We start from the raw sequence: 23,631 nt of genomic DNA, 5'->3' as shown, positions 1-23,631 counted from the left end.
CTATTAGTTTGCTGGTCAATCCTTTGGAATTTAGGAAAGATATTTCCCTATATAAATAGGTTTATGCTGATACAGCCATCAGGCCAAATCACAGTAACATATTATCTCACAATATATCTGAAATATTGCACATCTATACATAAAATATTAGAATACAAACTGTTATAATGCCAGCAGTGTAATGAAAACAAGCAAAAGAGAACACAACTTAATAAGAATCAGCTTTTATTGTATTTTGTCAGTGCTTAAGGAAAAGCAGCGCTTTTAATTTTTAATTTTTTTCATTCTCTTCTGCCACAAATCCAGATTTTTATGGGAAAACAAGAAAGTACATGGAACTAGTAAAGGAAACTTACAGGCATTCTGAAGACTTTTAAAGTACATTGACCCTGGTTAATTAAAAAATAGGTTGGCTTCACCACCATGCACTTGCTCCTCAACTCTTTGCATTCTGACTTCCATTTCCACATCTTGAGAAAACTGTTTCCTCAAAGGTCACTGTGAATTTCTGGTTGTCAAGGTCACAGCTTTTTGGTCCTCACTCTCCTAAATCTGTTTGAAGCATTTTACAGTGTAGGGCACCCTGTCACCCTCTTCGACAGAATCTGCCTTCTTGGCTTCTGGGATATGGCCTCATCCTTTTACTTCTTCTGTCTCTCTCCCGGACCATTTCTAAAGAAGCTAGGGAAAAAGTTGAAAGAGAAAGAAAGAAACAGGTGAAAAATTATGAGTAATATTGTGTGAAGTGTAGTTGAACTCTCAGTAGTGAAAGAAAGAACAGAATTGCATTTTGTGCATAATGAAGACAATGGAAAAAATACTTGGGGTTAATGGTTCTGTCTGCTGACCACCAATAGCTTGATTGCTATCCAGAGAAGCTTTGAAGTAAGAGAAAAAAAGTATGTAGGTAGTTATTTGAATATTAAATGACTGGTTGCTTCACATAGTGAAAAAGAGCATGAGGACCAGAGGAAAACATATCCACAATCCCTTATATGCAACTCTAAAATCCAAAAACCTCTAAAAACTATTTGGTGGCAACACTTGACCTGAGCAGACATAATGCTCTTTATTATCTTCATTTATTATGTGTAATGGTCTTTATTTATTGTAGTAAATGATACCATCATATTACTGAATGCAGAAATATTCAAGTGTTTGGTGATAGGATGCTATCCCAGATCCCACTGGAGTAGATGAATATACAGCATATGTACAGCATTACCTTGCACTGTCTGAATTCTAATCCTAACAGTACCATTTACTAACTGAGTGGCCCCAGGTGAGCAAGGTTTCATAAAAGCGGAGAGAAGGCAATCCAGTGAAAGAACTAGTTCCCATTTGATATCAATAGACTGTCTTTAGAAAGGAAAGGAACTAATAGTTGTTCTATATGCCCAAAGAGTTATTGTGAGAGTAGAATGAAATAATATTAAACCATAAAATTAGTAAAGAAAATGTGATCTGTAAGTGAAGTTTTTCTTTATTAAAATTGATATTGAAATTATTCAACCTGAGGCCATAAAGAAGTAAGGAAAGGGTTTACTTAAGGGAAATACTTTGCTATATGAATATATAATTGTTCCTATCATGACTAAATATTTAGAAGTAGGATAACCTATCCATCTGGAAAAATGCAACCACACATTGATCTGCTCTACTAGGGAGCGTAATGTATCTATTTGAATTTTCAACACAAAGAAATTAAACAAGACACTGCAAAACTCTACTAGTATAGTTGCAAAAAACAAACTGCAGAGAGAGAGAGAGAGCACGTGCAAGAGAGATTGAAAAGCTAATTACACCAGTATTAACTTCCATCCAATCAGGTAATGATGACCATGTTTTAAAATGATTACTTTTTTTTCTGACCATGACTATCATTGCACCAGTTGACATTTATTGAATCAACTGGCTTCCCAATCAATTCAGTTAAAAAAAAGTTTATCTGATGGATGGACAAGCTATTTTGTTAAATTAACTAGTCAACATGGTAAAACTTTGTGGATTGGTCAAATTCTAATGCTACTTAGACTCTCTTATACTGAGGATTGGTGCCTCTGACTTATCTGCCAGGTATGTGGGGGATGACTCACCTGTTCTATTTCTTCATTGCTTGGGGCTCCTGTAAGCAAGAACTCAAAGGTCCTTGAGAGGACAGAGCCATAAGCCAGCAGGGGAACAATTTATTGCTATGACAAGCCTTTTGGCTTTCACTTGGGACAATTCCAGGTGATATAATGTGCTCTTTTTAGAGCTAAAGGAAATTTAAACCAATGAATGTAAGAACTAAAATCTGCTTGCTCAAAAGTGATAGAGGTTTCTCAATGTTAATGTCTCTGCCATCATTGCAAGAGCGATCGAGGCCCTTATTAAATTCCCATCACATATTATATTTATTTACTAGATTATCATCTGTACAGCTATAAAGGGGGAATACCAAGGTTCATTTTAGTAGTGCAATGATTGCAGAAAGCCTCAGGTTACAGTTTTGAACGCATTGCTTTGACACAGCACATTTCAATAGATCAGCAAACAAAACACAATTTACAAAACCTCCCCAAGGATTATGCTAGAGTCCTTTTGTGGGGAGAGAGGTGGGAAGTTGAGGGTATTGTGGGGGGTTAGAAATCAATGTACTTGGCAGTTTTTTTCATAGTTTCATAGTTCTTTTTATCTTTGTGCTAAGAATTCAAATAGATACCTGATAAATCTACGTATTCCCTTCTACCACCTTCCTGCGAGATCTATGTGTCTTTCCAGATGGATAGGTTATCTAACTTCCAAGGTTTAGTCATTGAGGATATGAATATTTATATATAAAGTAAAATATGTTTCCTAAATAAATCTTTTTTTTCCTTTAGTTTGTGGACTTGAGTAGTTTCAATATTACTTTGTATTGTTCACAGGTCTCATTTTATTCATTAATTCTTACTGTTTTTCATTATTTCATTTAACTCTAACTACAATTAGTAATACTTGCCTTATCCCTTTGGATGGATATCATATCTCTTTGGATCTCCATCCAAAGGGATAAGGCAAGTATTACTAATTGCATTCAACAAAAGAAGAAACAGAGGCTAAGCAAATTTAAATATGTTGCCTGAAATCATACAGCATTTAAAAATGTTCATAGGTTGTGTTATAGGATTCATAGTGATTGATTGTTTTTGTTTCTATTTTAAATTATTATTGTTCTATTTTTACCTTATGCCCATTTAAAAAATACTTTGTCATTGACATGATTTGGATGCTTGTCCCTTCCAAATATCATGTTGAAGTATGATCCTCAATGTTGGAAGTGGGGCTTAGTAGGAGGTGTTTGGGTCATGGGGTCAGATCCCTCATGAATGGCTTGGTGCCTTCCCGCATGGTAGTGAATTCACGCAAGATCTGGTTATTAAAAAGAGCCTGGCACCTCTCCTCCTCCTCTTTCTTGCTCCCTCTCTTGCCATGTGACACTCCTGCTCACCCTTCCCCTTCCACCATTTGGGTCGGGATCCAAAAAGCTTTTACTTCCTGAGATCCTGGCCAGAAGCAGATGCTGTTGCCATGCTTGCATAGTCTGCAGAACCATGAGCCAACAAAACCTCTTTTCTTTATAAATTACCCCGCCTCAGGTATTCCTTTATAGACATACAAAATGGACTAAGGCAGTCATCAACTCCTCTTCCTGGAATAACTTGAAGATATCATCTTCACCATACCAGGTGTATACTCAATGGAGAATAAGAACTGGGATTGGAATGTCTGCAAACTCATGACTGAATAATGTGCAGTGTGGTTGCCAGAGTGAGTATTGATCCAAACCAAACACAGAACCATGGGCAGTGGCATAGAGAGAAATCAGAATCTTAGACAATTTGGGTGTATTTCACAACTGGACATTTTAAAATGCAGATTATAGTTGTGCCTTAGCATTTACATAGCACTCTGGTCAATTGTTTGTTGGCTATTCCTGTGCTATACCTTGATTGAAGCCATTTCTTGTTTATGCTTTTCTTTTCTTTTTTTCTTTTCTTTCATTTTTTATTTGAGTCAGAGTTTCGCTCTGGTTGCCCAGGCTAGAGTGCAATGGCGCAATCTCAGCTCACTGCAACCTCCGCTTCTCGGGTTCAAGTGATTCTCCTGCCTCAGCCTCCTGAGTAGCTGGGATTACAGGCACATGCCACTATGCCTGGCTAATTTTTGTATTTTTAGTAGAGATGGAGTTTCACCATGTTGGCCGGGCTGGTCTTGAACTCCCGACCTCAGGTGATCCACCCACCTTGGCCTGCCAAAGTGCTGGGCTTACAGGCGTGAGCCACTGTGCCCGGCTGTTTATGCTTTTCTTGTGAGTAATGCAGGACATATTTCAGAGACTCTGGCAAGACTATGTCGAGAACTACAACACTCCTCATCCTCCTGGTATTGAGCCAGGTTTAAGTAGAGAAAGAAAGCCCTGACATATGTTAAAACAGAAAACCAGACCATATCATTCCTTTACTCAAACTTCTCCATATCTCCTCATCTCTCCCAGGGTAGAAGCCGAAGTCTTTAAATGGTAACCAGGCCCCACACAATCTTTTCTCAACCCCTGTGAACCCCCTACTATTTTTCATTATAAAAGTTGTCATACATAAAGAGAAGTTGGATGAACAGTACAATGAACACCCATATATCTACCAATTTGATCTAACGCTTCAAAACTAACATTATAAAGGGCTTGGAGAGATGGAGTCCTGGGAGGGTTGGGAATGAAAAGAGAGAGGACCTACCAGATCAGACTGTTAGAGATGGAATGCAAGGTGGGCTAGACTGCCTATTGAACTGAGTTCCTCACAAAGTGGGAGTGGGCATGGTGGAGGGGCGGGGGAAGAGGCCACACTGGGCTGTGGTCAGGGATTATTACCAGAGAAGCAGTTGAGTGGAGCCCTGGCAGCCCATGTCCTTGCCCTTGGTCAGGGCCACACTCAAACCCTCCCCAGCAGAGCATCTATTCTATAAACCCTCCAGAGACGCAGATTACACAACATCCTTCAGTAGTCTGCGTCAATGTTTCAAACTGTGAAGTGATTCTCCCTGAAGACTAAACATGAGGTTTCACTGTGTTCTTTCAGTACATTTCCTCCTGTTCTTTTCTTGCAAGAAACAGCTATCTGGGCAATATCTCCTATGTACTGACGTCAACAAATTTCAAGGCAAAAGTACTCTGTCATTTTCATCTATTTTTTAAAATGATAATTATTTTCTTCTTTAATAACCTTACTAGCTCTTCGGAACCTTTACCACATCCCATAGAAAGAGGCAGGGGTTGCAATTGAAAACACACTGACAGATTAAACCCCAGTTCTCTTACTGGATGACACAGAGCTAGTTACTAACCTTGCTGAGGATTTGAAAAATAACAACTTCCTCTAAGGTGGTTGTGAACACTCAGTGAGGTAAGGTACATTTGTGCCCTGAATGTAGTAAATACTTGAAGTTTTAGTTATCCCCACTGTGTTGTTCTAGTCAGGGCTAATTACCTGGACTGATATTTTATGTTTTATTTAGTTATTTCTGATTTCTTTCTTTCTTTTTTTTTTTTTTTTTTGAGATGGAGTCTCACTCTGTCACCCAGGCTGGAGTGCAGTGGTGCAATCTCAGCTCACTGCAACCTCTGCCTCCCAGGTTCAAGCGATTCTCGTGCCTCAGCCTCCCAAGTAGCTGGGATTACAGGCATGTGCCACCAAGCCCGGCTAATTTTTGTATTTTTAGTAGAAACAGGGTTTCACCATATTGGCCAGGCTGGTTTCGAACTCTTGACCTCAAGTGATCTGCCCACCTCAGCCTCCCAAAGTGCTGGGATTACAGGTGTGAGCCACCGTGCCTGGCCTATTTCTGATTTCTTCTACTTGTTATGGAGACCACAGCTTATACATACGTATACGTGTCCAAAAGGATTAGCTATTTCGTGCTTGAATGCCTTGGGAGCTTTGCTACTAGGAATAGGTGATTTACTATTCTCCTTGGCCCTGACTGAGATGTGGGGAGGTGGAATCATGCACACACGTTAGTTCCTGAGAACACTATGTTTGTACCACTATGTAGATCAGAGCTCCTCAATCTTGGTACTTGACATTTGGGGCCAAATAATTCTTGGTTGTGAGAGGCTGTCGTGCATATTGTATAATGTTAAGTAGTATCCCTGGTCTCTACCAACTAGATGCAGTAGTACTCTCCCCTCAGTGTGATAACCAAACATGTCTCCTGGGAGACAAAATCACCCTGGTTGAGAACCCCTGTTCTATATCTCTGATATAGTGCTTTGAAGAGCATAAATTACTGCCATACCAACTGAGGTTGTCATCTGTGAGTCTGTGATCTCTAATTACTCTCTATCCTGAATATTCTGACCCTACTGAGAAAAACATAGCCTATTACCAAGATAGAATAGAGCACCAGTTGTCTCCTTTCAGTGAAAATCAAAAAGAAAAAATGCAGTATAAGAAATGCAAGGACAAACTATATTTGTAATTCATGTAAGTTTGATGTTATCATGGAACCAAAGATTTTTATGCTTCCTTATGCTTTAACTGTCCCTCTCCTTCATGTCTCTGATAAGAATTCTCTCAAAAAGCCCTTTCTGACTACAAAGATTCTGGGCCTGAGGACAGATTGCTAAGGTTCAAATCCCAGTTCCATTGATTTCCAGCTGTGTGACCTTGATTCTGTGCCACGGTTTCCTCATCTAAAAAATGGGAATGATGCTATTACTCACCTCATAGGGTTTTGTGAGGATTTAATAAGGGAGCACATGTAAAGCAGTTAAACTCTGTTTGGCACATAATAATCACTCAACAAAGTTTGGATATTATTATTGCTAGAGGTAGTAGTAGTCTCTATAATTCAGAGTCTCATCTCCGTCAGAAAGCCTGCCGGACTCCATGAGCCCGCTTTGACCTCTTTTATCTCTGAAATCATAGAAGTTCTTATAATTTTATAGATCAAAGCTTATTCACATTATCTTTTATCTGGGCCATCTGAATAAAATTTCCCAATAGCACAAGGATGTGTGAGCCATAAATTACATGTTCTACATGATTTGCATTTTCTCATCCACCTCATAAATTGGGTAAATAGTTGTTAACACCACTTGGGGGGGTCTATATACCTATACAAAATTGGATAGTGGTTTGGGGAACTCTCTCCTCTCTTATCAGAATTTCCTCCTCCTCTTGTCCTCTCTTATCTGGTTATTTCATATGTAGTCAGTAGGTAGAGACATCAGCATGATATTGGTACTAACATGGAAGCTCCCCTGAAGACTGAGGCAAAATTCATAAAGATGATCTAGGAAGGTCAAAAAAGCTTTGCACAATACCAACTACCAAATCCAGTGAAAAGGCTAAGCAGAGAAAGACACTCACTATGAGAGTTCCTCCAGGTATGTTCTCAAATTTCCAATTTTTATAATTGCTTCATTACTTCATCCTTGTAGAGGTTGCTCAGTCCTTGTTTGCCTTTCAACCAATGTTGAAAAACACTGGTAATCACCAAGATCTAAAAATAACATCTTGTAGCATGATGGCAATATCCAAATTTCAAGGCAACAGGGCCCCAATTCCTTTCTGCATTGAATCCAAATTAATATTATTAAGACCTACCACATTTTGACTGTCCCCAGAAAAGATGCAAGGCTTCCCTAGAATTTGCACTGTGTAATTTCTAGGCACTGAACATATTTTGCAGCCAAAGAACACTCCTGATGGGATTGAAGACAAGTTGGTAAATCTTAGGAGGGTCTTTGGTGGCAAAGAATGAAGTAGGAGTAAAGCTCTTACACAACTTAGCTTCTAGTTTTTATATATTCATTGTGACATTATCATTGTGACATTACATCTCTGGCATCATCAAAAACCAAGGGATTTTTATTTAAAATATGATACACGATAAGACCTCAGAAAAGTTCTTATAATTTCAAGTGCATGTATTCATGTGGCATAAAATTAAAGCCCTTACCCTTTGACTTTTGACTTTCAGATTGGTCCTCTTTGAAGTTCAGATATTAAGCACCTGAAAATTTACAAAGTAACTTACGCATTCCCTATGTCTGTAATTTTTGGAAATGAGATGGTTCTATGACCTCTGATATCTTCCCCCACATCTCCCTCACTAACCACTTGCTTAGGTTCTATATACAGGGAAAACAAAGGAGTCCTTCAATCAAATAAACAATAGCATCCTTGGGCAGGGGACCAGTCTTATAGAATAATCTAGAGCAAAACTTCAAAGCCCCAATTAAGATCCCTTCTCTTACTATAGACCAGACCAGCAAGCTTCCCTCTGAGCCTCACCCGGGTCCTTCTACCTTTCCAGAGATCTGATGTCTCCAAAGTAGTTCCCAGCCTTGAAGCTTACAATTTCTCATGCACCACTGGTGTTAATAAGTTCTTATCTGGGACATTGTGTGTCATAGAGGGGCACAAATGGAAAGAGAATTTTATACTTTGTAGAATAATTATCATATATTCTGCCATGCCATTCTGTCTTTGCAATCATTATTTTTTTTCTCTCTCAGGACTTTTGGCATATTATTTTTGTGATGTACTAATATAACAATTTGTTAACAGGAGTGGCATGTCTGAGAACTCCAAGTCATAATCATCTTATCCTAATTCTCTTGATACATTGTTTGGGAAAAAAATGCATCCACCATGGCTGCCAAAACAGCTTCTCGGTTTAGCCAGTATTCTGGCCTCTTTGCATGTGTCTGTGACTACTTGACTATCTCATCTTTGCTGAAGTTAATGGCTGGTTATTAGGACCACACTTAATAAATAGCAGCTCCTCAAGGAATGGCATGGACTCTTGATAGCATTCTAACCTCTTGAGTTCAGAGCCCTCCAGATTGTGGAATAAATTAGCAGTGCTAGAATTACCAGCCCTATGTTTTGCTGACCCACTTTAAAGAGTGTTTACATGTCCTGAATCTTGATCTACAATACTTATTTTTATATGCCATTTTATATTTATATCCTAGAATACTATTATTTTATGGAATATTCCACTTTGATATCCCAATTAGAACAATCTCACCATCTAGGGATTCTGATAACCACAACTATGGGAAAATCAGTTCTAGTTTATGGCCACAGATGGGCCAGCATTGGGTAGGAGTGAAGAATTAATGTCATATTAAAATAAAAAGTAGGTGAATAAATTTCAGAATACATTTTTATAAAATAAAAATTATTAGTGAAACCAACTGGAGGGATTTCCATTGCTGTGACCTCATTCCTTGACACCCACTTTCAGTCATCAGTGAGCTTTGGCATCATGGTAGTTGCAACATAAATATGGTTCTTTTCATACAATGCTGGAGGGTCCTCATTTCTCTTGTTGCCTAAAACATTAACTGTGGGCTGAGATATCTGGCTCAGGGAAAAGACTAACCAGTGTTCAACACTTGGCTTGGCTACTTAGTAAATAATAGTATGACCTTGCGAGAAGAAGCAGCTTGATTGAGGTAAACTTCATTTATGCTCTCACCACCCCCGCTTTTTTTTTGAGATGGAGTCTCGCTCTGCCACCCAGGCTGGAGTCCAGTGGCACTATCTTGGCTCACTGTAACCTCCACCTCCTGGGTACAAGCGATTCTTCTGCCTCAGCCTCCTGAGTAGCTGGAACTACGGGCGCACACCACCATGCCCGGCTAATTTTTGTATGTTTAGTAGAGACAGGGTTTCACCACATTGTCCAGGCTGGTCTCAAACTCCTGACCTCAGGTGATCCACCCTCCTCAGCCTCCCAAAGTGCTGGGATTACAGGCCTGAGCCACCGCGCCTGGGCCTTTCATTTTCTTCATCTATGAGAAGGTAGTAACAATACCATTTTTACAGGGTCATTTGGTGGATTCAGTGACAACATATGTAAGGCATTTAGCCCAATGCCTGACTTACAGTAATCATGCTGTTTTTCTCTCACGTCTTTTACCATAGTAACTTGAATCATAGCTTCCAAATCTCATTTTGTTCCAGAAAATTTTTCCACCTTTTTTTCAGTTGATACTAATCTCTATCCATCACATTCTGTGGATGGGCAAATAAACAGATGAAATATGCCATATGAAAATGAATTATGCTACACACAGGGTAGACAACTGAGCTTTCCCTCTTCTTCCTCCTTACTACTGAGTTGCTGAACAATGTCTGTATTCAATAAATATTTATTGTGTGTACCTATAATGCACCAGCCACTTTTCTAAGCAGCTGAAGATATAGCAGTGAACAAAATAGAGAAAAGTTTCTGCCCTCTTGGAGCTTATATTTTAGTGGGGAGAGACAGATAATAAAGGAATACATTAGTAAAACATGTAATTATGAGTACCGTGTAGCAGATGGTGGTGTCATGAAAAAAAATAAAGGATGGAAGTTGTATAAATAGTGCCACTATATGTGTATGTAGTGGTGATAGGGAGGATAAATTTTAATTAGTTGATTGGGTAGCTTGAGCTTTACTCTTGACTCATTAAAAAAGAGAATCATAATATTTAAAAAAATTCAAGTCGTCAGATTGACAGGAGGCAAAAACAGTGTTTAGTAAAATTGGGACTTTATAACGTTGACCAGCATTCCTGGGACCAATGCTGGACTTAGTAAAACTGGCTCTATTGAGTTATTGTTCTGTTAGTTCTCTGTGAGGTCTCTTCTTCCAACTTGATAGAAGGGACTCTACGAGTGAATAGGAAGGTTGAGGTTGGAGTCTGTAACTAACCTTGACCAAGCTCCACTGATGGCTCAGACCAGACAAATCCCTTAGAAGACGAGGAGGGAGGAATACAATGAGGTGTCCAAGATGAGCCTGCTAGACCTCAAGAAGACAACTACTGTTGAACATTTCCAGTTGGATCAGAAAACATGACTCATACACAATCCATAGACTGAGGTGGAGGCCAATAAAATAAAGGGGTTTTCTAAGATATTTAGAGTCAATTAGGAAGCATTGACCAAAGTCTAAAATTCTTCGGTCACCCTCAGACTCTAGCTGAGATGCCAGAGCTGGTTCCACAATAAGTCTTCTATGCCTTAAATGCCCACCAGTGTTGCAGCCTTGACCTGGATTGCGTCTAAGCCCTTGACTTTGACTATCTGTCATGTCAGCTGACTTTCCTGAACTGGCACCTTGCCTCAACTTAACCACCCTGTTCTTCTGAGATGTTTCTACTTTGCCATAAACCAGTGAGGACTACAATGCTCTGGCCAAGATCCTGAAACTCCCGTTTCTCCTTCCTGTTCATTCCACAGATGGCTTTTTTTTTTTTTTTTTTTTTTTTGTCCTGGGATACATGTGCAGAACGTGCAGGTTTGTTACATAGGTGTACATATTCCATGGTGGTTTGCTGCACCTATCAACCCATTATCTAGTTTTTAAGGCCTGCATGCATTAGGTATTTGTCTTAATGCTCTCCCTCCCCTTACCCCCCACCTCCCGACAGACCCCAGTGTGTGATGCTCCCCTCCCTGTGTCCATGTGTTCTCATTGTTCAACTCCCACTTATGAGTGAGAACATGTGGTGTTTGTTTTTTTGTTCCTGTGTTAGTTTTCTGAGAATGATGGCTTCCAGCTTCATCCATGTCCCTGCAAAGGACATGAACTCATTCTTTTTTATAGCTGCATAGTATTCCATGGTGTATATGTGCCACATTTTCTTTATCTATTCTATCATTGTTGGGAATTTGGGTTGGTTCCAAGTCTTTGCTATTGTGAATAGTGCTGCAATAAACATACGTGTGCATGTGTCTTTATAGTAGAATGATTTATAATCCTCTGGGTATATACCCAGTAATGGGATTGCTGGGTCAAATGGTATTTCTGGTTCTAGATCCTTGAGGAATCGCCACACTGTCTTCCACAATGGTTGAACTAATTTACACTCCCACCAGCGTGTAAAAGCGTTCCTATTTCTCCACAGCTTAGCCAGCATCTATTGTTTCCTGACTTTTTAATAACTGCCATTCTATCTGGTGTGAAATGGTATCGTATTGTGGTTTTGATTTCCATTTCTCTAATGACCAGTGATAATGAGCGTTTTTTCATGTTTGTTGGCCACATAAATGTCTTCTTTCGAGAATTGTCTGTTCATATCCTTCACCCACTTTTTGATGGGGTTGTTTGTTTTTTTCTTGTAAATTTAAGTTCCTTGTAGATTCTGGATATTAGACCTTTGTCAGATGAATAGATTGCAAAAATTTTCTCCCATTCTGTAGATGGCCTGTTCACTCTGATGATGGTTTCTTTTGCTGTGCAGAAGCTCTTTAGTTTAATTAGTTCCCATTTGTTGAGCTGGGCATGGTGGCTCACGCTTGTAATCCCAGCACTTTGGTAGGCTGAGGTGGGTGGATCACCTGAGATTAGGAGTTTGAGACCAGCCTGGCCAACATAGTGAAACCCCGTCTCTACTAAAAACATACAAAAAGTTAGCTGGGCATGGTGGTGGGCGCCTGTAATCCCAGCTACTAGGGAGGCTGAGGCAGAAGAATCACTTGAACCTGGGAGGCGGAGGTTGCAGTGAGTCGAGATCGAGTCATTGGACTCCAGCCTGGGCAACAAGAGTGAAACTCCATCTCAAAAAAAAAAAAAAAAAAAAAAAGATCCCATTTGTTAATTTTGGCTTTTGTTGCAATTGCTTTTGGTGTTTTAGTCATGAAATATTTTGCCATGCCTAAGTCCTGAATTGTATTGCCTAGTTTTTCTTCTAGGGTTTTTATGGTTTTGGGTTTTGCATTTAAGTCTTTAATCCATCATGAGTTAATTTTTGTATAAGGTGTAAGGAAGGGGTCGGCTTTCTGTTTTCTGCATATGGCTAGTCAGTTTTCCCAGCACCATTTATTAAATAGGGAATCCTTTCCCCATTGCTTGTTTTTGTCAGGTTTGTCAAAGATCAGATGGTTGTAGATGTGTGGTTTTATTTCTGAGGTCTCTGTTCACAGATGTCTCTTTTAAGGAGAGTTGTTTCAAGTAACTTTCCCCCACTATTTATCCTTCCAATTTCCCTCCTGAGGTCTAGACTTTAATACTTTTCAGTACACTGGGATTTTGAAGAGGTAAGATATTTTCTTTTTAGTTTTAGCTGAGAGACAATATTTGAGTAACCATCTCTAGCTGACAATTCTCAAATTTGTATCTCCATCCTTGACCTCTCTGCCAAACTCCAGATTTGTATATCCAATTGCCTTCTCAACATCTACACTTGGGTTGCTAATAGATATCATAAACTTAACTAAACTTTCAGTCTTCCCTTTAAGCCTATTTTACCAGCAATCTTTCTCATCTAAATTGATGTTAATTTCATCCTTCTAGCTGTTTAATCCAAAAACCCGGAGTGATCTTTGACTCTTTCTTTCATAGCCTACATCCAATTCACCAGCAAAGCTTGTTTGCTTTACTTTTAAAATGTATTAAAAATCCAATCACGTCTCATCAACTCTACTGTTACCACCAAGCCACCATTATATTTCATCTGGATTATTGCAACAGCTTCCTCAGTGGTCTCTCTGACTGTAGTCTTGCCCCATATGTGGTTTGTTCTTCATGTAGTGGCCAGAGGGATTCCTTTTTTTTTTTTTCTTTTTTTTTTTTTGAGGCAGGGTCTCACTCCTGTCACCCAGGCTGCAGTGCCATGGTGCGATCACGGCTCACTGCAGCCTCAACTTCCTGGTTTCACATGATGCTACCACCTCAGCCTCCCAAGTAGCTGGGGCTACAGGCACACACCACCACACCTGGCTAATTTTTTGTAGTTTTAGTAGAGACAGTGTTTCACCATGTTGCCCAGGCTGGTCTTGAACTCTTGGGTTCAAGAGATCCTCACGCCGTGGCCTCCCAAAGTGTTGGGATTACAGGTGTGAGCCACTGTGCCCGGCCCAGGATTTCTTTTAAATGTAAGTGATATCGTGTAACTCTTCTGTTCAAATTCTACCATGCATCCCATCTCACTTAGGATAAATGCTCATGTTTTGCTTCTAAAGTCTTAGATGTAAATTTATACTAGTGAGTTCCTTGCTCTAGTGCTATCTGATATTTTGTACAGTATAGGTATCAAAATAAATTACGGTTACTGTGGCAGGCACTGTACTATCATAAATTCAGGCCAGTAACAATCAGTATAACCTTCTTGGAATCCAATGTTTATTCTCACAAATTTGAACTCTGTCTATTGAAACTGTTTATCAGTTTGGTTAATGAAGATTATCTTTGCTGTATCTTTAGTGTTTGAAATGTTTGTTTTCTGGTGCCATAAATAAATAGTATTTGAACATAGATTTATTTTTTTTAGTAAGGCTATTTTTATACTTTCTGTAGAAAGGGTCCACTTGCCAGTAGTTTTGTTACGAGAGTATACCGAACAAAGGAGATAGGGTTATTTATAACTTGACGCGTCTACCCTACTGTTGTGTCTGGTTCTTATTGGCTGGAACGGGACCTCACATTTTGTGTTTGTCTTGACTGGCTAGCAACTTAGAACTTTTTAAAAGAGGCAAAGGCAGAGGAGAACAAAGGAAGGAGGAAGTAACTTGTGGAATGTTGAGAAAGGTAAAAACCCCTTCAAATAAGGAAGAGGAACAGGCTATGACCTAATGCTTGTTTGGAGCAGTATTAAGGATGCCAGGGCAAATATTTAGGTTAAATTGTGGGAGCTAAGAACATAAAGTACATTGATTTTTTTTTATTATGGCTAGCAGATATTTAAGAATGTTAGCACAGGTTTTTGAATGAATTTTGCTTCTAAGAGAAGCTATTATTTATTCCTAATTAGACAGGGAGGAAAGTCTTTGAAGAGGAACCTCTACTTTACTTTTTACATTTAGGAAAAAAGGGACTGCTATGCAACTAAAAATGTAAACAGGAAAGAGCTTTAGCTTTTCCTTTGGGCTGAAAGCCCAACTAGTTATTTATTTTCTATAAAGCACTTATAAATTCACTTTGTGTGATAAACATGTGGTCAAAATCAATTGTACTGAATGCAAATAGTTCTTGACCATGCAAAGTTTTGAATTTCTCTATGCATTGTGTTCCTGATACCCTTCCTTGTTCTGTCAGCAGTATTAATCAATAAGAAATTGAACAAAACATCCTTTCTTTTCTGATGTTTACCAAAGTTATCCACCCAACTTGGGGAACTGGAAGAGGTTTCTCCTATAGCTATTTGGCAACCTCAGCATTTGTGACTCAGTTGGAAGGATATAAAAAGTTGAACAGTAAGGGAAATATGGATTTCAAAGTCTATGTACTTTGCTCTAGCAGAATAAAGACCCACCCTCGGATTTCAGCCTATGAAAAGGGAGGTTTCTAGTTGAACTCCATGGTTATCTAGTTTCCATTTAGGTTTTAGCAGATAGCAGATCAGAAACAGGGAGGGGACTTGTGGAGAGCAGGGCTACTGAAAGTTGATACTGTGACTGTGAACTCAGAATGTGCAGAAACAGCAGAATTAATAGCAATAAAGCTGTTGAGTCATTTAATGTAAAGCCTTGAAGACATTGTCACATTATAGCTTAGCCAGTAAATATTATTTAAGATGATGACACTGAGTCATCTGAAATATAACCCTAAACTAATGTCCAGGCAGCATCGCGATCGGGATGGAATATATTGAAGAAAAATTTCTAACTAAAACGGTTTAAAAATGTATAACTGGTGTAATCAAAGCAGTACATTTTAATTTTGCTTATGGGGACCTGCTTATTCTCAGAATATGACAGATTGATGAGGACTTATTAGACATGCATGAAGTTAGCAGATAACTGAACCCATGACTCTGTGGAGAGAAAAGGTCTCTTAAGCAATCTGGGATCAAAATGTAGCCCCATTGCCTATCAGTTGTGGAAGTTTGAATTAATCATGGGAACAGTTGGTTTCCTTAATTATAAAATGGATCTCACTATTTCTACCTGTAAAGTTGTTGTGAAGAGTTTATATACAGGAGCAGGTACAAAGCATATGCAACCAACAAATACAACATCTGTAAATATTGAGAGGGAGTCATTTACCTTTATGACTTTCCCCTTCTTCCTCAAGATAGCGTGACAGACTCAAGTTTTCTCTTCTCTGTATGTAGGAAGTTTTATACCAGGACCTGACCATGACTGGGTGATGAAAGCACGCTGAGAGGTTCTCTATGGCTGGGCTCATGTAGACTACTGGCTGACTCCCCTTTCCTTTCATATATGACTCTACTCATTCCATTGGTGAGCTCCTCCATCCTGCTGTTTCAGCACAAACTAGCAGACTTCTCCTACAATGCAGGATCCTATAGTCCAAACAGACCTTTGAGTCAAACTCCCAGCCAGTCTCTGTCTGCTGCAGTGTCTCTGAAAGATGACCTTGCAGATGGTTTGATTAAACATTCCAGTGTGGAAGTTCTCTAATTATTACACAGCTCCTTTCATTTTCTGTGGCTTTTATTACTAGGCTTACAACATTACTCTCTGTGTTCTTATGTATTAATTCAAGTAATATGACATCCCTATGAAATGGATATAAAACTATCATTGGCCTTGAAATAAATTAGGTGCAGGGAGGATATTACCTGCCTAAGGTCACACAGCTAACAAGTGGCAGAGTAAATCCACTATGCTAAGTCTTCTTCTAAATGGCAGTACCATGATGGAAGAAAGCTGTCCACCCTGTCTTCTCTTCCATATCTAAACCATTCTCCAAATTATATTATTTTAGATCCATCTGCTCTCCTATTTATTTTCCTCTGGATGCTCTCTTGTGCGTCTCTAAAATTGTGGTTCACAGAAATGAATGTTATAGTCTAGATTATTTTGTATCTAATGCTTATATTAGCAAAGTCTAATATAGTATAAGATGTAATTATAGGCCCAGTAATTTTTACTGGGCCTCCTAGTTGGATCTTGAAGCTCATACTAAGCTTTTATTCAACCAGCTTGACTGGGCTGCTGCAGTAGCTCATTAACTAGCCTCCCTGCTTCCATCCTTACCCCTTTAGTGTCCATTCTCTAAGCAGCAGCCAAAGTGACCCTGCTAAAGCTTCTACTAGATCACTTCTCTGCTTGAAGCCTTCCAGTGTCTTCCCATGTTGCTGAGAGTAAAGCTGAAGTCTCACAGTTAATTGTCTTTAAGACCTCCCTGGTGTGACCCTAGCTTCTTCCTTGACTTCACCTCCTGCCACTTTCCCCTGCACACTGAGCTCCAGTCACAAAGACCTCTGATGTTCTTGAAATCTGCCTACATCCTTTACACTTGCTGCTCCCTCTCCCTAGGAAAACTTCTTCACCCAGAGATCCGCACAACTTTCATCACTTCTTTCCGGTCTTTGCTCAAACGTCACCTTCTCAGAGAGGCCCTCCTTATAGAAAATCCCTCTCCCCACCCCATAATTCTCTATCCTCCATTTCTTGCTTATTATAAGTCATGACATTTATCACTATTTTTGTCTTCCTTCTATTGTCACCTCATATAATACAATATTTATTAGCTTACATTCAAAATCTAGAATAGTGTTTGGCATATAGTAGGTATTCAATAAACAATGATTGAAGCAAGATTCTTGTTGTTTTGGACATGAATTGTTGTTTACCAGAGGACTGCCTAATCCTGTACTGTGTAATTGTTTCAGGGGACATTTGGGTCTAGTCATAGCATTTTACATTCTGTTAAATCCCTTATTGAAAAGGAAGATACACTACGTCTTTGGATATATTTTTTTACTATTGTATTCTATCAGAGAGGAGATAGGGCAGGCAGCATCTGACTTATTCCTAGTGAATTCCTAATGGACCAGAGATATATTTTTCCAAGTGCAAATCACATTCTAAAAATTTTACTTTAGGCCGGGTGCGGTGGCTCATGCCTGTAATCCCAGCACTTTGGGAGGCCGAGGCGGGCAGATCACGAGGTCAGAAGATCGAGACCATCCTGGCTAACACAGTGAAACCCCGTCTCTATTAAAAATACAAAAATATTAGCTGCGCATGGTGGCGGGCGCCTGTAGTCCCAGCTACTCGGGAGGCCGAGGCAGGAGAATGGCGTGAACCTGGGAGGCGGAGCTTGCAGTGAGCGGAGATCGCGCCGCTGCACTCCAGCCTGGGTGACAAAGCGAGACTCCGTCTCAAAAAAAAAAAAATTTACTTTATAGCTTTACTAGGTGTTAAGGTCAAACTTCCCTTTACCATTATGAAATCCACCCCCTCCTCCAATCTTTTTGAAACATAGAACATCTTTCCTGCATCTTTGGTCTTCTAATTTTTTCTGATTCTCCAATTTTTCTCAAAGACAATACATTCCTTTAGACCAATTGTTTTTCTGGGTCTCATCTCCTGAGTCTTCAGTGAATTCTTTCCATTCTCGGAATGCGCTCAGAGAGAACGCTTCTGGGGAACTATCAGAACATTGATATCTTCTCAAAAAAGTGTGAACAAAAATTCCAATAATTCAGTCAGTGCTTGCAGTTGGCCATTCTGGGCTAGTTTTTCTACAGAATCACTGTAGACTATTCTCCCTTTTCCCTTGCTTCTCAAAGTTTCTTGGCTTCTAGCATTTTCCTGCCTGCCTCACTGCTGTCCCAGGCTCCTTGTTCATTTATTCTTAGCTTTCAGATTTTATATCTTGCTTTCTCCATTTCAGTTTGATCAAGTTAATCGTATTTTCTGCCTCAGCGAATTGAATTTGGACTACTCCCATTTTTTCCACTAAACCCACGTGTTTCATTTAGGAACTTACCTGTGTAGAAATTTATTTCCGCTTTTATTACAGTAACATTTCAACCTTTTCTTCAGATACTCGTGTGCTGTCCTCTTTCTTGCCTGTTTTTTCTCCTATTGTGTGCAAGGAGTGAGTGGATCTAGGTTTCCTGGAATGTGGGAGGAGCTTTTCTGAAATTTCTGCACTGATTTTTTTTTTTTACCCTCATCTCACTTTCATTTAAAATTCTTTATTATTATTACTTATATTTGTGAGCTGCTTTATTTTTTTAAAAGGAGAGTATATTTTGATTCACATCAAGGGAAGTAAGAGTCCACCTCTTTTTGATGCAGTGTAACTAAATCTGTCATCTTCACTGAGGCACAAGGCCCTCTGTCACATTTTATCTATGCCTCCACTATTGCTTTTAGACTGTTGACTACAAGTTAGTTAAGAGCCTATACTCTAGAATCAGAATACATAGATCCATGTTCTGATTCCATCATTTGTTAGCTGAGTGAGATATAGCAATTTACTTAAACTTAGTTTCATAATTCATAAAATGGTGATAAAATATTTGCCTATAGGTTTCTTGTGATGCTCAAATGAGATATTATAACACAAAGCACTTTGAATAGTTACTTATAATTGTTTTTTTCCTATTCTACAATAATATACACAACTTTGGAATAAGGAAAAGCAGTGGACATTTTTTTAAAGGCTTGATTATTGCAATGTCACCTGAACCTGGAAGACTTGTTTTTCTGGGTGAAGAAATATTTTCTCTGTGTCAGAGTTTCACAATCATCGTCAGGTAGGCCCTTGAACCCTGCCATTTAAAGTGCTCCTCTCTTTGATCTGTGGCACTCATACATACACTCTGGCAATGAGGACACTGAGCTCGCTTCTGAAATTTGACAAGATAACCACTAAAATCTCTTTGAATTCTATGTTGTTGTGATCCCATGGCTACAGAGGATCAGGAGTTGACATAGATACTCTTTGGATTTCATACCATGTGGAGGCTTTCTTACTTCCACGTGACCTTGACTGAGTTTTGAATAGGTAAGTGAAGGAGAAGGAGGCACTCAAAGAAGTCAGCCACAGAACCAGTGTGAGAAATAGGAAATGAGCTTTTTTAAGTTTTGCAAAGGCAGATCAGGAGAGTTGACCTGTGGAGTGGAGAGTAGTCATAATTTTAAAAAATGGCCATGGAAATTAAAACTGATCAGAAATGGCTGGGCACAGTGGCTCACGCCTGTAATCCTAGCACTTTGGGAGGCCGAGTTGGGCAGATCACAAGGTCAGGAGATAGAGACCGTCCTGACTAACACGGTGAAACCCCGTCTCTATTAAAAATACAAAAACTTAGCTGGGCGTGGTGGTGGGCACCTGTAGTCCCAGCTACTCGGGAGGCTGAGGCAGGAGAATGGCGTGAACCTGGGAGGCAGAGCTTGCAGTGAGCCGAGATCGCGCCACTGTGCTCCAGCCTGGGCGACAGACCGAGACTCAGTCTCAAAAAAAAAAAAAAAAAAAAAACTGATCAGAAATATGAATTCCATAAAGACAAGGGCAAAGTCATGTATTTGGAAGGGAAAATGTTGCCCAAGTAGAGAGTTTCTGGGAATATGATCTTGAAATAAAAATAAATGTGAGATAACCTATTAATGAAATTGTCTGAAAACCATACAAACACCAACATTATCTTCATGATCCCTAGTTCTAGACCTCTTTGGTCACTGTAAAATTATAACATTTTCCGTGTATCTTTAACAGCTTTCTAGGAAAATATTAACCAAAAGTACCGGTTTTGATTTGGCCATAAAGTGACAGGAGAGGTAAGGTTCTCTAGGATTAAAGAATAACGTATTCTTATTTGATTCACTTTAAAAAATTATTCTAAAATCTGTTACATATCTGTCCTCTCCAGGATGAACTTTATATTGGCTCAGCAGATTGTTTACTGTGTTCTTCTTCTTTTTCTTTTTTTGGTCTTTCCTGCTCAGCGCCCAACCCAAGTTCAAAGGCTGATAAGAGAGAAAATCTCATGAGGAGGTTTTAGTCTAGGGAAAGTCATTCAGTGGATGTGATCTTGGCTCACAGGGGACGATGTCAAGCTCTTCCTGGCTCCTTCTCAGCCTTGTTGCTGTAACTGCTGCTCAGTCCACCATTGAGGAACAGGCCAAGACATTTTTGGACAAGTTTAACCACGAAGCCGAAGACCTGTTCTATCAAAGTTCACTTGCTTCTTGGAATTATAACACCAATATTACTGAAGAGAATGTCCAAAACATGGTGAGTTCTCATGGCTCTATTGGGCTATTTGTTGCCTCTTAAAGATTAGATTACTGCCCGTGAAACTGAAAAGGGAAATCAAAAAAAATGCTCTGAGTTGTGAGATTGGATGTTTGCCTCCATATCCCTGATTTTGGAGTCCCAGATAACTAAACTTAATTGACCCTGGGGTTCATTCAGAAAATTGTTACAAAATAATTCACTGGTCTCAATCCAGATGCTTGGAAACAAGAGAATATTCTTTATAAAGTTACCACCATAATTCTCATCACAGTCAGGATTTCAAAGCATTTCATGGAAATGCCATAAGTTATTGAGTTAATAATTTCCTTTAGCCTACAATATCAATAGGAATATCTAAAGATTCTCTACAAATGATATATTAACTGAAAAATGCAACTGGAGGCTTAGTGAAAGAACTAGTAATTAAGCTAATCAGGGCTTGGGTGAGGCTGGACTTGGGAATTCCTTTCCTCTTTGTCACAGACCTCCAAGGGACTCCAAAAGGTCACAGAATCCAGGCAGAGCCCTCCAAAACAAAAACAAAAACAAACAACAAAAAAACTATGATTAAACCAGTTCTGACAAATATCAGAATGCTCTGGGAAAGCCAGATGCTTTAACAAGTGCAAGGATTTAGGAATTTCTTCTCTCACAGATCCCAAAACAGTATCCTTAAGTGGTGATCCTTATGTCAAGCTGTGAGAATATACCTCAAAATAATAGAAGGCATCCAAACTTGATCAGTATAGTGTCATAAAGCTGCTGATGTAGAAGTGTGGAGAAGTCCATCAGATAGAGATATGGAAAAAAAAGCTTGGTTAAAACAGGTTTCCAAAGTTCTCTCCCTTTCTCTGCCATTGTGGTATGTGTGGTTGACCATTTCTCATCATGTTTTCTTACAAGACTTTCAGGATCAAGCAATTCCTCGCCAAAAAACAAAATCAAGGACACGTTGTAGCTATTTCTTGGTGAGTTACCAGAAGCTGTGAAGAGAGAGCATGAGGCCCATACTTTTTTTTTTTTTTGAAGGGTCTCGCTCTGTTGCCCAGGCTGGAATGGAGTGGCATGATCATGATTCATTGCAGCTTGACCTCCTGGGCTCAAATGATCCTCTCGCATCATTTAACATTTTTTTTTGTAGAGATGAGATCTCACTTTGTCTCCCAGGCTGGTCTTGAACTCCTGGGCTCAAGTGATCCTCTTGCCTCAGGCTCCCAAAGTGCTGGGATGACAGGCATGAGCCACTGCACCTAGCCTACCACACTTACTCTTTGCGTGGTCTCTAGAGCTTCTTCAGCCCCCCTGCTGCCAGGGTCCCTAGGGTCTTGGGCATGCCCCATTTCTGAACCTATTCCTGTCTCCAGGGATAGAGTCACAGTGAACTCAGACCAGGGTAATTCTAAACTGCTATTCTGTATATACCCAAGGAAATTTCATCCCTGTCTCTAATGAGTCTGTCCCATGCCCCTTAATACACATGAACACCTACACACAGGTACAAGTCGGGGAAGATCACTGTGCAGCACATAAAATAAAATTCAGGGGCGAGCACTTTTTTTCCCATGAGATAAAGTTAGGAAAAAATAAAAATGTTCATACAGATTAAAAATTTTAAATGTTAAAATATTAAACCCCCAATCTAAAATAAAGAAAAAATAATTTCTTAAATCCTAAGCTTGAGTTATGGAATTCACATTCTTATAATTTACATTACCTATTTTGTTAAATGGAAGACTTTTTTTTTTAATATGCAAGTACCTGGGCATATTTAGAAAGTAACCAAGGCAGCTTTTGTCTTTGAACCTGATGCGGTTTTGACAGCTCTATCTGGAAATTGAGCCAGCATATGGGAGCCAAGGGTGAAAGTTTTCCTGGGAGATTTGGGCTCCAAGGTACTGGATAGATGCTAAAGATTCCATTCAGTTTTTCATTTTCTGTCTTCATGGAACTCTCACACCTACAGGGGAAGAAATGGTTTAGAGGTTACTAAAAGTATATAGCCTGGTTTAGGTGATAGTGAGCTATAGAAAAAGAGAAAATAAGTTGTCAATACTTTAAATCTCAAACAACTTCTTACAAAAGGATTTTAATAGTTTAAATACAATTATCACAAGTTGGGTAAAGACAACCAGACCTATGGCCTGATAAATCATGTATTTAATTTATGCATATAGTTAGGGCCAAAAAGAGCAGAGTATCTTTTTGAATGTTTTAAAATATAATCTAGGATTTTATGCCTACAGTCCTTGAAATTACAAAGGATCTCTCTCAAGTTGGGAATATGCTATCCATTGCAGTTACGGATGGGATTTAGAGACTGTTTTAATTTCTTGTGATTATCTCAAACAACGTGTTCCTTACTCCCAAAACTCCCTTGTATGGCTACAGAAACTGTTGCAGTTTTAGTTGCTTCTCCCCTGCCTTTGCCCAGAGGTAGTGTGGAATGCCACCAATTTTATCTGTAATGGTTCCTTTCAAGCCTGGGGCTATGTAAGCTGCTATATATGCTTCATTCCATTCATCATTCAGTCTAAATATAGCTATCAACCACTAAATTATCTGATAGGTATGCATGAACTGACTGATTCTTTGCATAACTACTAAGCTATCTGTTTTATTTAGGCTTGGGAGCCCTAGGGTAAGGATACGGAATAAATTGTA

At 39.2% G+C, this 23,631-nt stretch overlaps 1 protein-coding gene and 1 long non-coding RNA gene across 6 annotated transcripts in view, besides 27 other annotated features; one reads left to right on the top strand and one right to left on the bottom strand.

Annotated features, from left to right (window-relative positions):
• Positions 1-208: 208 nt before the first annotated feature.
• On the bottom strand, positions 209-18,812 carry ACE2-DT (ACE2 divergent transcript). The gene is made up of 2 exons (NR_126564.1): positions 18,712-18,812; positions 209-681 (listed from the first exon to the last, which is right to left on the bottom strand). It is a non-coding gene; the product is annotated as an ACE2 divergent transcript (long non-coding RNA).
• The window catches only part of ACE2 (angiotensin converting enzyme 2), an 89,015-nt gene continuing 79,865 nt past the window's right edge, over positions 14,482-23,631 (top strand). For 3 of the 5 annotated variants that reach the window (NM_001386259.1, NM_001386260.1, NM_001371415.1), the window contains exon 1: positions 20,733-20,967. In NM_001386259.1, coding sequence (NP_001373188.1) covers positions 20,782-20,967 — 186 coding nt within the window. In that variant the 5' untranslated portion in view covers positions 20,733-20,781. Of the gene's footprint in view, positions 14,557-19,534; positions 19,738-20,678; positions 20,968-23,631 lie in introns of those variants that run through there. The other 2 variants (NM_001389402.1, NM_021804.3) reach the window with 2 other exon arrangements.
• Positions 18,693-20,782: a promoter, noted in NCBI's record as "2.1 kb -2069/+20 fragment used in the reporter construct". NCBI's record gives its function as "drives ACE2 transcription in reporter assays in human cardiac fibroblasts (HCFs) {active_cell/tissue: HCF}" and the evidence as "EXISTENCE:reporter gene assay evidence [ECO:0000049][PMID:21864606]".
• Positions 19,273-19,854: a conserved region, noted in NCBI's record as "conserved_region; -1509 to -928 distal promoter region that is conserved in placental mammals". NCBI's record gives the evidence for it as "EXISTENCE:sequence similarity evidence [ECO:0000044][PMID:24100303]".
• Positions 19,564-20,781: a promoter, noted in NCBI's record as "-1119 promoter fragment used in reporter gene constructs". NCBI's record gives its function as "drives ACE2 transcription in transfected HCT116 colorectal cancer cells and HEK293 embryonic kidney cells, where activity is increased by HNF1beta transactivation in HEK293 cells and by remdesivir treatment in HCT116 cells, but the MEK inhibitors VS-6766 or Trametinib can attenuate the latter effect {active_cell/tissue: HCT116 | HEK293}" and the evidence as "EXISTENCE:reporter gene assay evidence [ECO:0000049][PMID:16297991, PMID:32793908]".
• Positions 19,587-19,613: a protein binding site, noted in NCBI's record as "motif 4 probe". NCBI's record gives its function as "binds GATA4 in 832/13 insulinoma cells {active_cell/tissue: 832/13}" and the evidence as "EXISTENCE:protein binding evidence [ECO:0000024][PMID:24100303]".
• Positions 20,245-20,782: a promoter, noted in NCBI's record as "-516/+20 fragment used in the reporter construct". NCBI's record gives its function as "drives ACE2 transcription with maximal activity in reporter assays in human cardiac fibroblasts (HCFs) {active_cell/tissue: HCF}" and the evidence as "EXISTENCE:reporter gene assay evidence [ECO:0000049][PMID:21864606]".
• Positions 20,246-20,281: a transcriptional cis regulatory region, noted in NCBI's record as "-481/-516 region deleted in the -2069/+20 promoter construct". NCBI's record gives its function as "important for activity of the ACE2 -2069/+20 promoter in human cardiac fibroblasts (HCFs) {active_cell/tissue: HCF}" and the evidence as "EXISTENCE:reporter gene assay evidence [ECO:0000049][PMID:21864606]".
• Positions 20,258-20,262: a transcriptional cis regulatory region, noted in NCBI's record as "bases that cause loss of -516/+20 promoter activity when mutated in the M1(-516/+20) to M7(-516/+20) reporter constructs". NCBI's record gives its function as "important for activity of the ACE2 -516/+20 promoter in human cardiac fibroblasts (HCFs) {active_cell/tissue: HCF}" and the evidence as "EXISTENCE:site-directed mutagenesis evidence [ECO:0005528][PMID:21864606]".
• Positions 20,328-20,781: a promoter, noted in NCBI's record as "-454/-1 proximal promoter fragment used in reporter constructs". NCBI's record gives its function as "drives HNF1-responsive ACE2 transcription in reporter assays in HEK293T embyonic kidney and betaTC3 and 832/13 insulinoma cells {active_cell/tissue: HEK293T | betaTC3 | 832/13}" and the evidence as "EXISTENCE:reporter gene assay evidence [ECO:0000049][PMID:24100303, PMID:29082356]".
• Positions 20,328-20,781: a conserved region, noted in NCBI's record as "conserved_region; -454 to -1 proximal promoter region that is conserved in placental mammals". NCBI's record gives the evidence for it as "EXISTENCE:sequence similarity evidence [ECO:0000044][PMID:24100303]".
• Positions 20,427-20,781: a promoter, noted in NCBI's record as "-252 promoter fragment used in reporter gene constructs". NCBI's record gives its function as "drives ACE2 transcription in transfected HCT116 colorectal cancer cells, Calu-6 lung cancer cells and HEK293 embryonic kidney cells, where activity is increased by remdesivir treatment in HCT116 and Calu-6 cells but the MEK inhibitors VS-6766 or Trametinib can attenuate that effect {active_cell/tissue: HCT116 | Calu-6 | HEK293}" and the evidence as "EXISTENCE:reporter gene assay evidence [ECO:0000049][PMID:16297991, PMID:32793908]".
• Positions 20,431-20,457: a protein binding site, noted in NCBI's record as "motif 1 probe". NCBI's record gives its function as "binds GATA4 in 832/13 insulinoma cells {active_cell/tissue: 832/13}" and the evidence as "EXISTENCE:protein binding evidence [ECO:0000024][PMID:24100303]".
• Positions 20,431-20,457: a protein binding site, noted in NCBI's record as "motif 1 probe". NCBI's record gives its function as "binds HNF1alpha and HNF1beta in 832/13 insulinoma cells {active_cell/tissue: 832/13}" and the evidence as "EXISTENCE:protein binding evidence [ECO:0000024][PMID:24100303]".
• Positions 20,442-20,447: a transcriptional cis regulatory region, noted in NCBI's record as "HNF1 motif 1 bases mutated in the -454/-1 promoter construct". NCBI's record gives its function as "important for HNF1-responsive activity of the ACE2 -454/-1 proximal promoter in transfected 832/13 insulinoma cells {active_cell/tissue: 832/13(+HNF1beta)}" and the evidence as "EXISTENCE:site-directed mutagenesis evidence [ECO:0005528][PMID:24100303]".
• Positions 20,449-20,475: a protein binding site, noted in NCBI's record as "motif 2 probe". NCBI's record gives its function as "binds HNF1alpha and HNF1beta in 832/13 insulinoma cells {active_cell/tissue: 832/13}" and the evidence as "EXISTENCE:protein binding evidence [ECO:0000024][PMID:24100303]".
• Positions 20,463-20,468: a transcriptional cis regulatory region, noted in NCBI's record as "HNF1 motif 2 bases mutated in the -454/-1 promoter construct". NCBI's record gives its function as "important for HNF1-responsive activity of the ACE2 -454/-1 proximal promoter in transfected 832/13 insulinoma cells {active_cell/tissue: 832/13(+HNF1beta)}" and the evidence as "EXISTENCE:site-directed mutagenesis evidence [ECO:0005528][PMID:24100303]".
• Positions 20,476-20,781: a promoter, noted in NCBI's record as "-202 promoter fragment used in reporter gene constructs". NCBI's record gives its function as "drives ACE2 transcription in transfected HCT116 colorectal cancer cells and HEK293 embryonic kidney cells, where activity is increased by remdesivir treatment in HCT116 cells but the MEK inhibitors VS-6766 or Trametinib can attenuate that effect {active_cell/tissue: HCT116 | HEK293}" and the evidence as "EXISTENCE:reporter gene assay evidence [ECO:0000049][PMID:16297991, PMID:32793908]".
• Positions 20,495-20,500: a transcriptional cis regulatory region, noted in NCBI's record as "R12 bases mutated in the -454/-1 promoter construct". NCBI's record gives its function as "negatively regulates activity of the ACE2 -454/-1 proximal promoter in transfected 832/13 insulinoma cells {active_cell/tissue: 832/13}" and the evidence as "EXISTENCE:site-directed mutagenesis evidence [ECO:0005528][PMID:29082356]".
• Positions 20,519-20,545: a protein binding site, noted in NCBI's record as "motif 3 probe". NCBI's record gives its function as "binds HNF1alpha and HNF1beta in 832/13 insulinoma cells {active_cell/tissue: 832/13}" and the evidence as "EXISTENCE:protein binding evidence [ECO:0000024][PMID:24100303]".
• Positions 20,533-20,538: a transcriptional cis regulatory region, noted in NCBI's record as "HNF1 motif 3 bases mutated in the -454/-1 promoter construct". NCBI's record gives its function as "important for HNF1-responsive activity of the ACE2 -454/-1 proximal promoter in transfected 832/13 insulinoma cells {active_cell/tissue: 832/13(+HNF1beta)}" and the evidence as "EXISTENCE:site-directed mutagenesis evidence [ECO:0005528][PMID:24100303]".
• Positions 20,597-20,604: a transcriptional cis regulatory region, noted in NCBI's record as "R8 bases mutated in the -454/-1 promoter construct". NCBI's record gives its function as "positively regulates activity of the ACE2 -454/-1 proximal promoter in transfected 832/13 insulinoma cells {active_cell/tissue: 832/13}" and the evidence as "EXISTENCE:site-directed mutagenesis evidence [ECO:0005528][PMID:29082356]".
• Positions 20,601-20,782: a promoter, noted in NCBI's record as "-161/+20 fragment used in the reporter construct". NCBI's record gives its function as "minimal promoter region that drives ACE2 transcription in reporter assays in human cardiac fibroblasts (HCFs) {active_cell/tissue: HCF}" and the evidence as "EXISTENCE:reporter gene assay evidence [ECO:0000049][PMID:21864606]".
• Positions 20,620-20,646: a protein binding site, noted in NCBI's record as "R6 probe". NCBI's record gives its function as "binds FOXA1, FOXA2 and FOXA3 in 832/13 insulinoma cells {active_cell/tissue: 832/13}" and the evidence as "EXISTENCE:protein binding evidence [ECO:0000024][PMID:29082356]".
• Positions 20,629-20,634: a transcriptional cis regulatory region, noted in NCBI's record as "R6 bases mutated in the -454/-1 promoter construct". NCBI's record gives its function as "positively regulates activity of the ACE2 -454/-1 proximal promoter in transfected 832/13 insulinoma cells {active_cell/tissue: 832/13}" and the evidence as "EXISTENCE:site-directed mutagenesis evidence [ECO:0005528][PMID:29082356]".
• Positions 20,680-20,706: a protein binding site, noted in NCBI's record as "R4 probe". NCBI's record gives its function as "binds COUP-TFII and other factors in 832/13 insulinoma cells {active_cell/tissue: 832/13}" and the evidence as "EXISTENCE:protein binding evidence [ECO:0000024][PMID:29082356]".
• Positions 20,694-20,700: a transcriptional cis regulatory region, noted in NCBI's record as "R4 bases mutated in the -454/-1 promoter construct". NCBI's record gives its function as "positively regulates activity of the ACE2 -454/-1 proximal promoter in transfected 832/13 insulinoma cells {active_cell/tissue: 832/13}" and the evidence as "EXISTENCE:site-directed mutagenesis evidence [ECO:0005528][PMID:29082356]".
• Positions 20,738-20,743: a transcriptional cis regulatory region, noted in NCBI's record as "R3 bases mutated in the -454/-1 promoter construct". NCBI's record gives its function as "negatively regulates activity of the ACE2 -454/-1 proximal promoter in transfected 832/13 insulinoma cells {active_cell/tissue: 832/13}" and the evidence as "EXISTENCE:site-directed mutagenesis evidence [ECO:0005528][PMID:29082356]".
• Positions 20,909-22,108: an enhancer, noted in NCBI's record as "BRD4-independent group 4 enhancer chrX:15617708-15618907 (GRCh37/hg19 assembly coordinates)". NCBI's record gives its function as "activates an origin of replication core promoter dependent on BRD2, P300/CBP, MED14 and CDK7 cofactors, and independent of BRD4, by STARR-seq in HCT116 cells {active_cell/tissue: HCT116}" and the evidence as "EXISTENCE:reporter gene assay evidence [ECO:0000049][PMID:35650434]".

Source organism: Homo sapiens, chromosome X, assembly GCF_000001405.40.
Source record: "Homo sapiens chromosome X, GRCh38.p14 Primary Assembly".
In the NCBI taxonomy this organism is placed as follows: Eukaryota; Metazoa; Chordata; class Mammalia; order Primates; family Hominidae; genus Homo; species Homo sapiens.
This window is presented reverse-complemented; position numbering and strand designations above follow the sequence as displayed.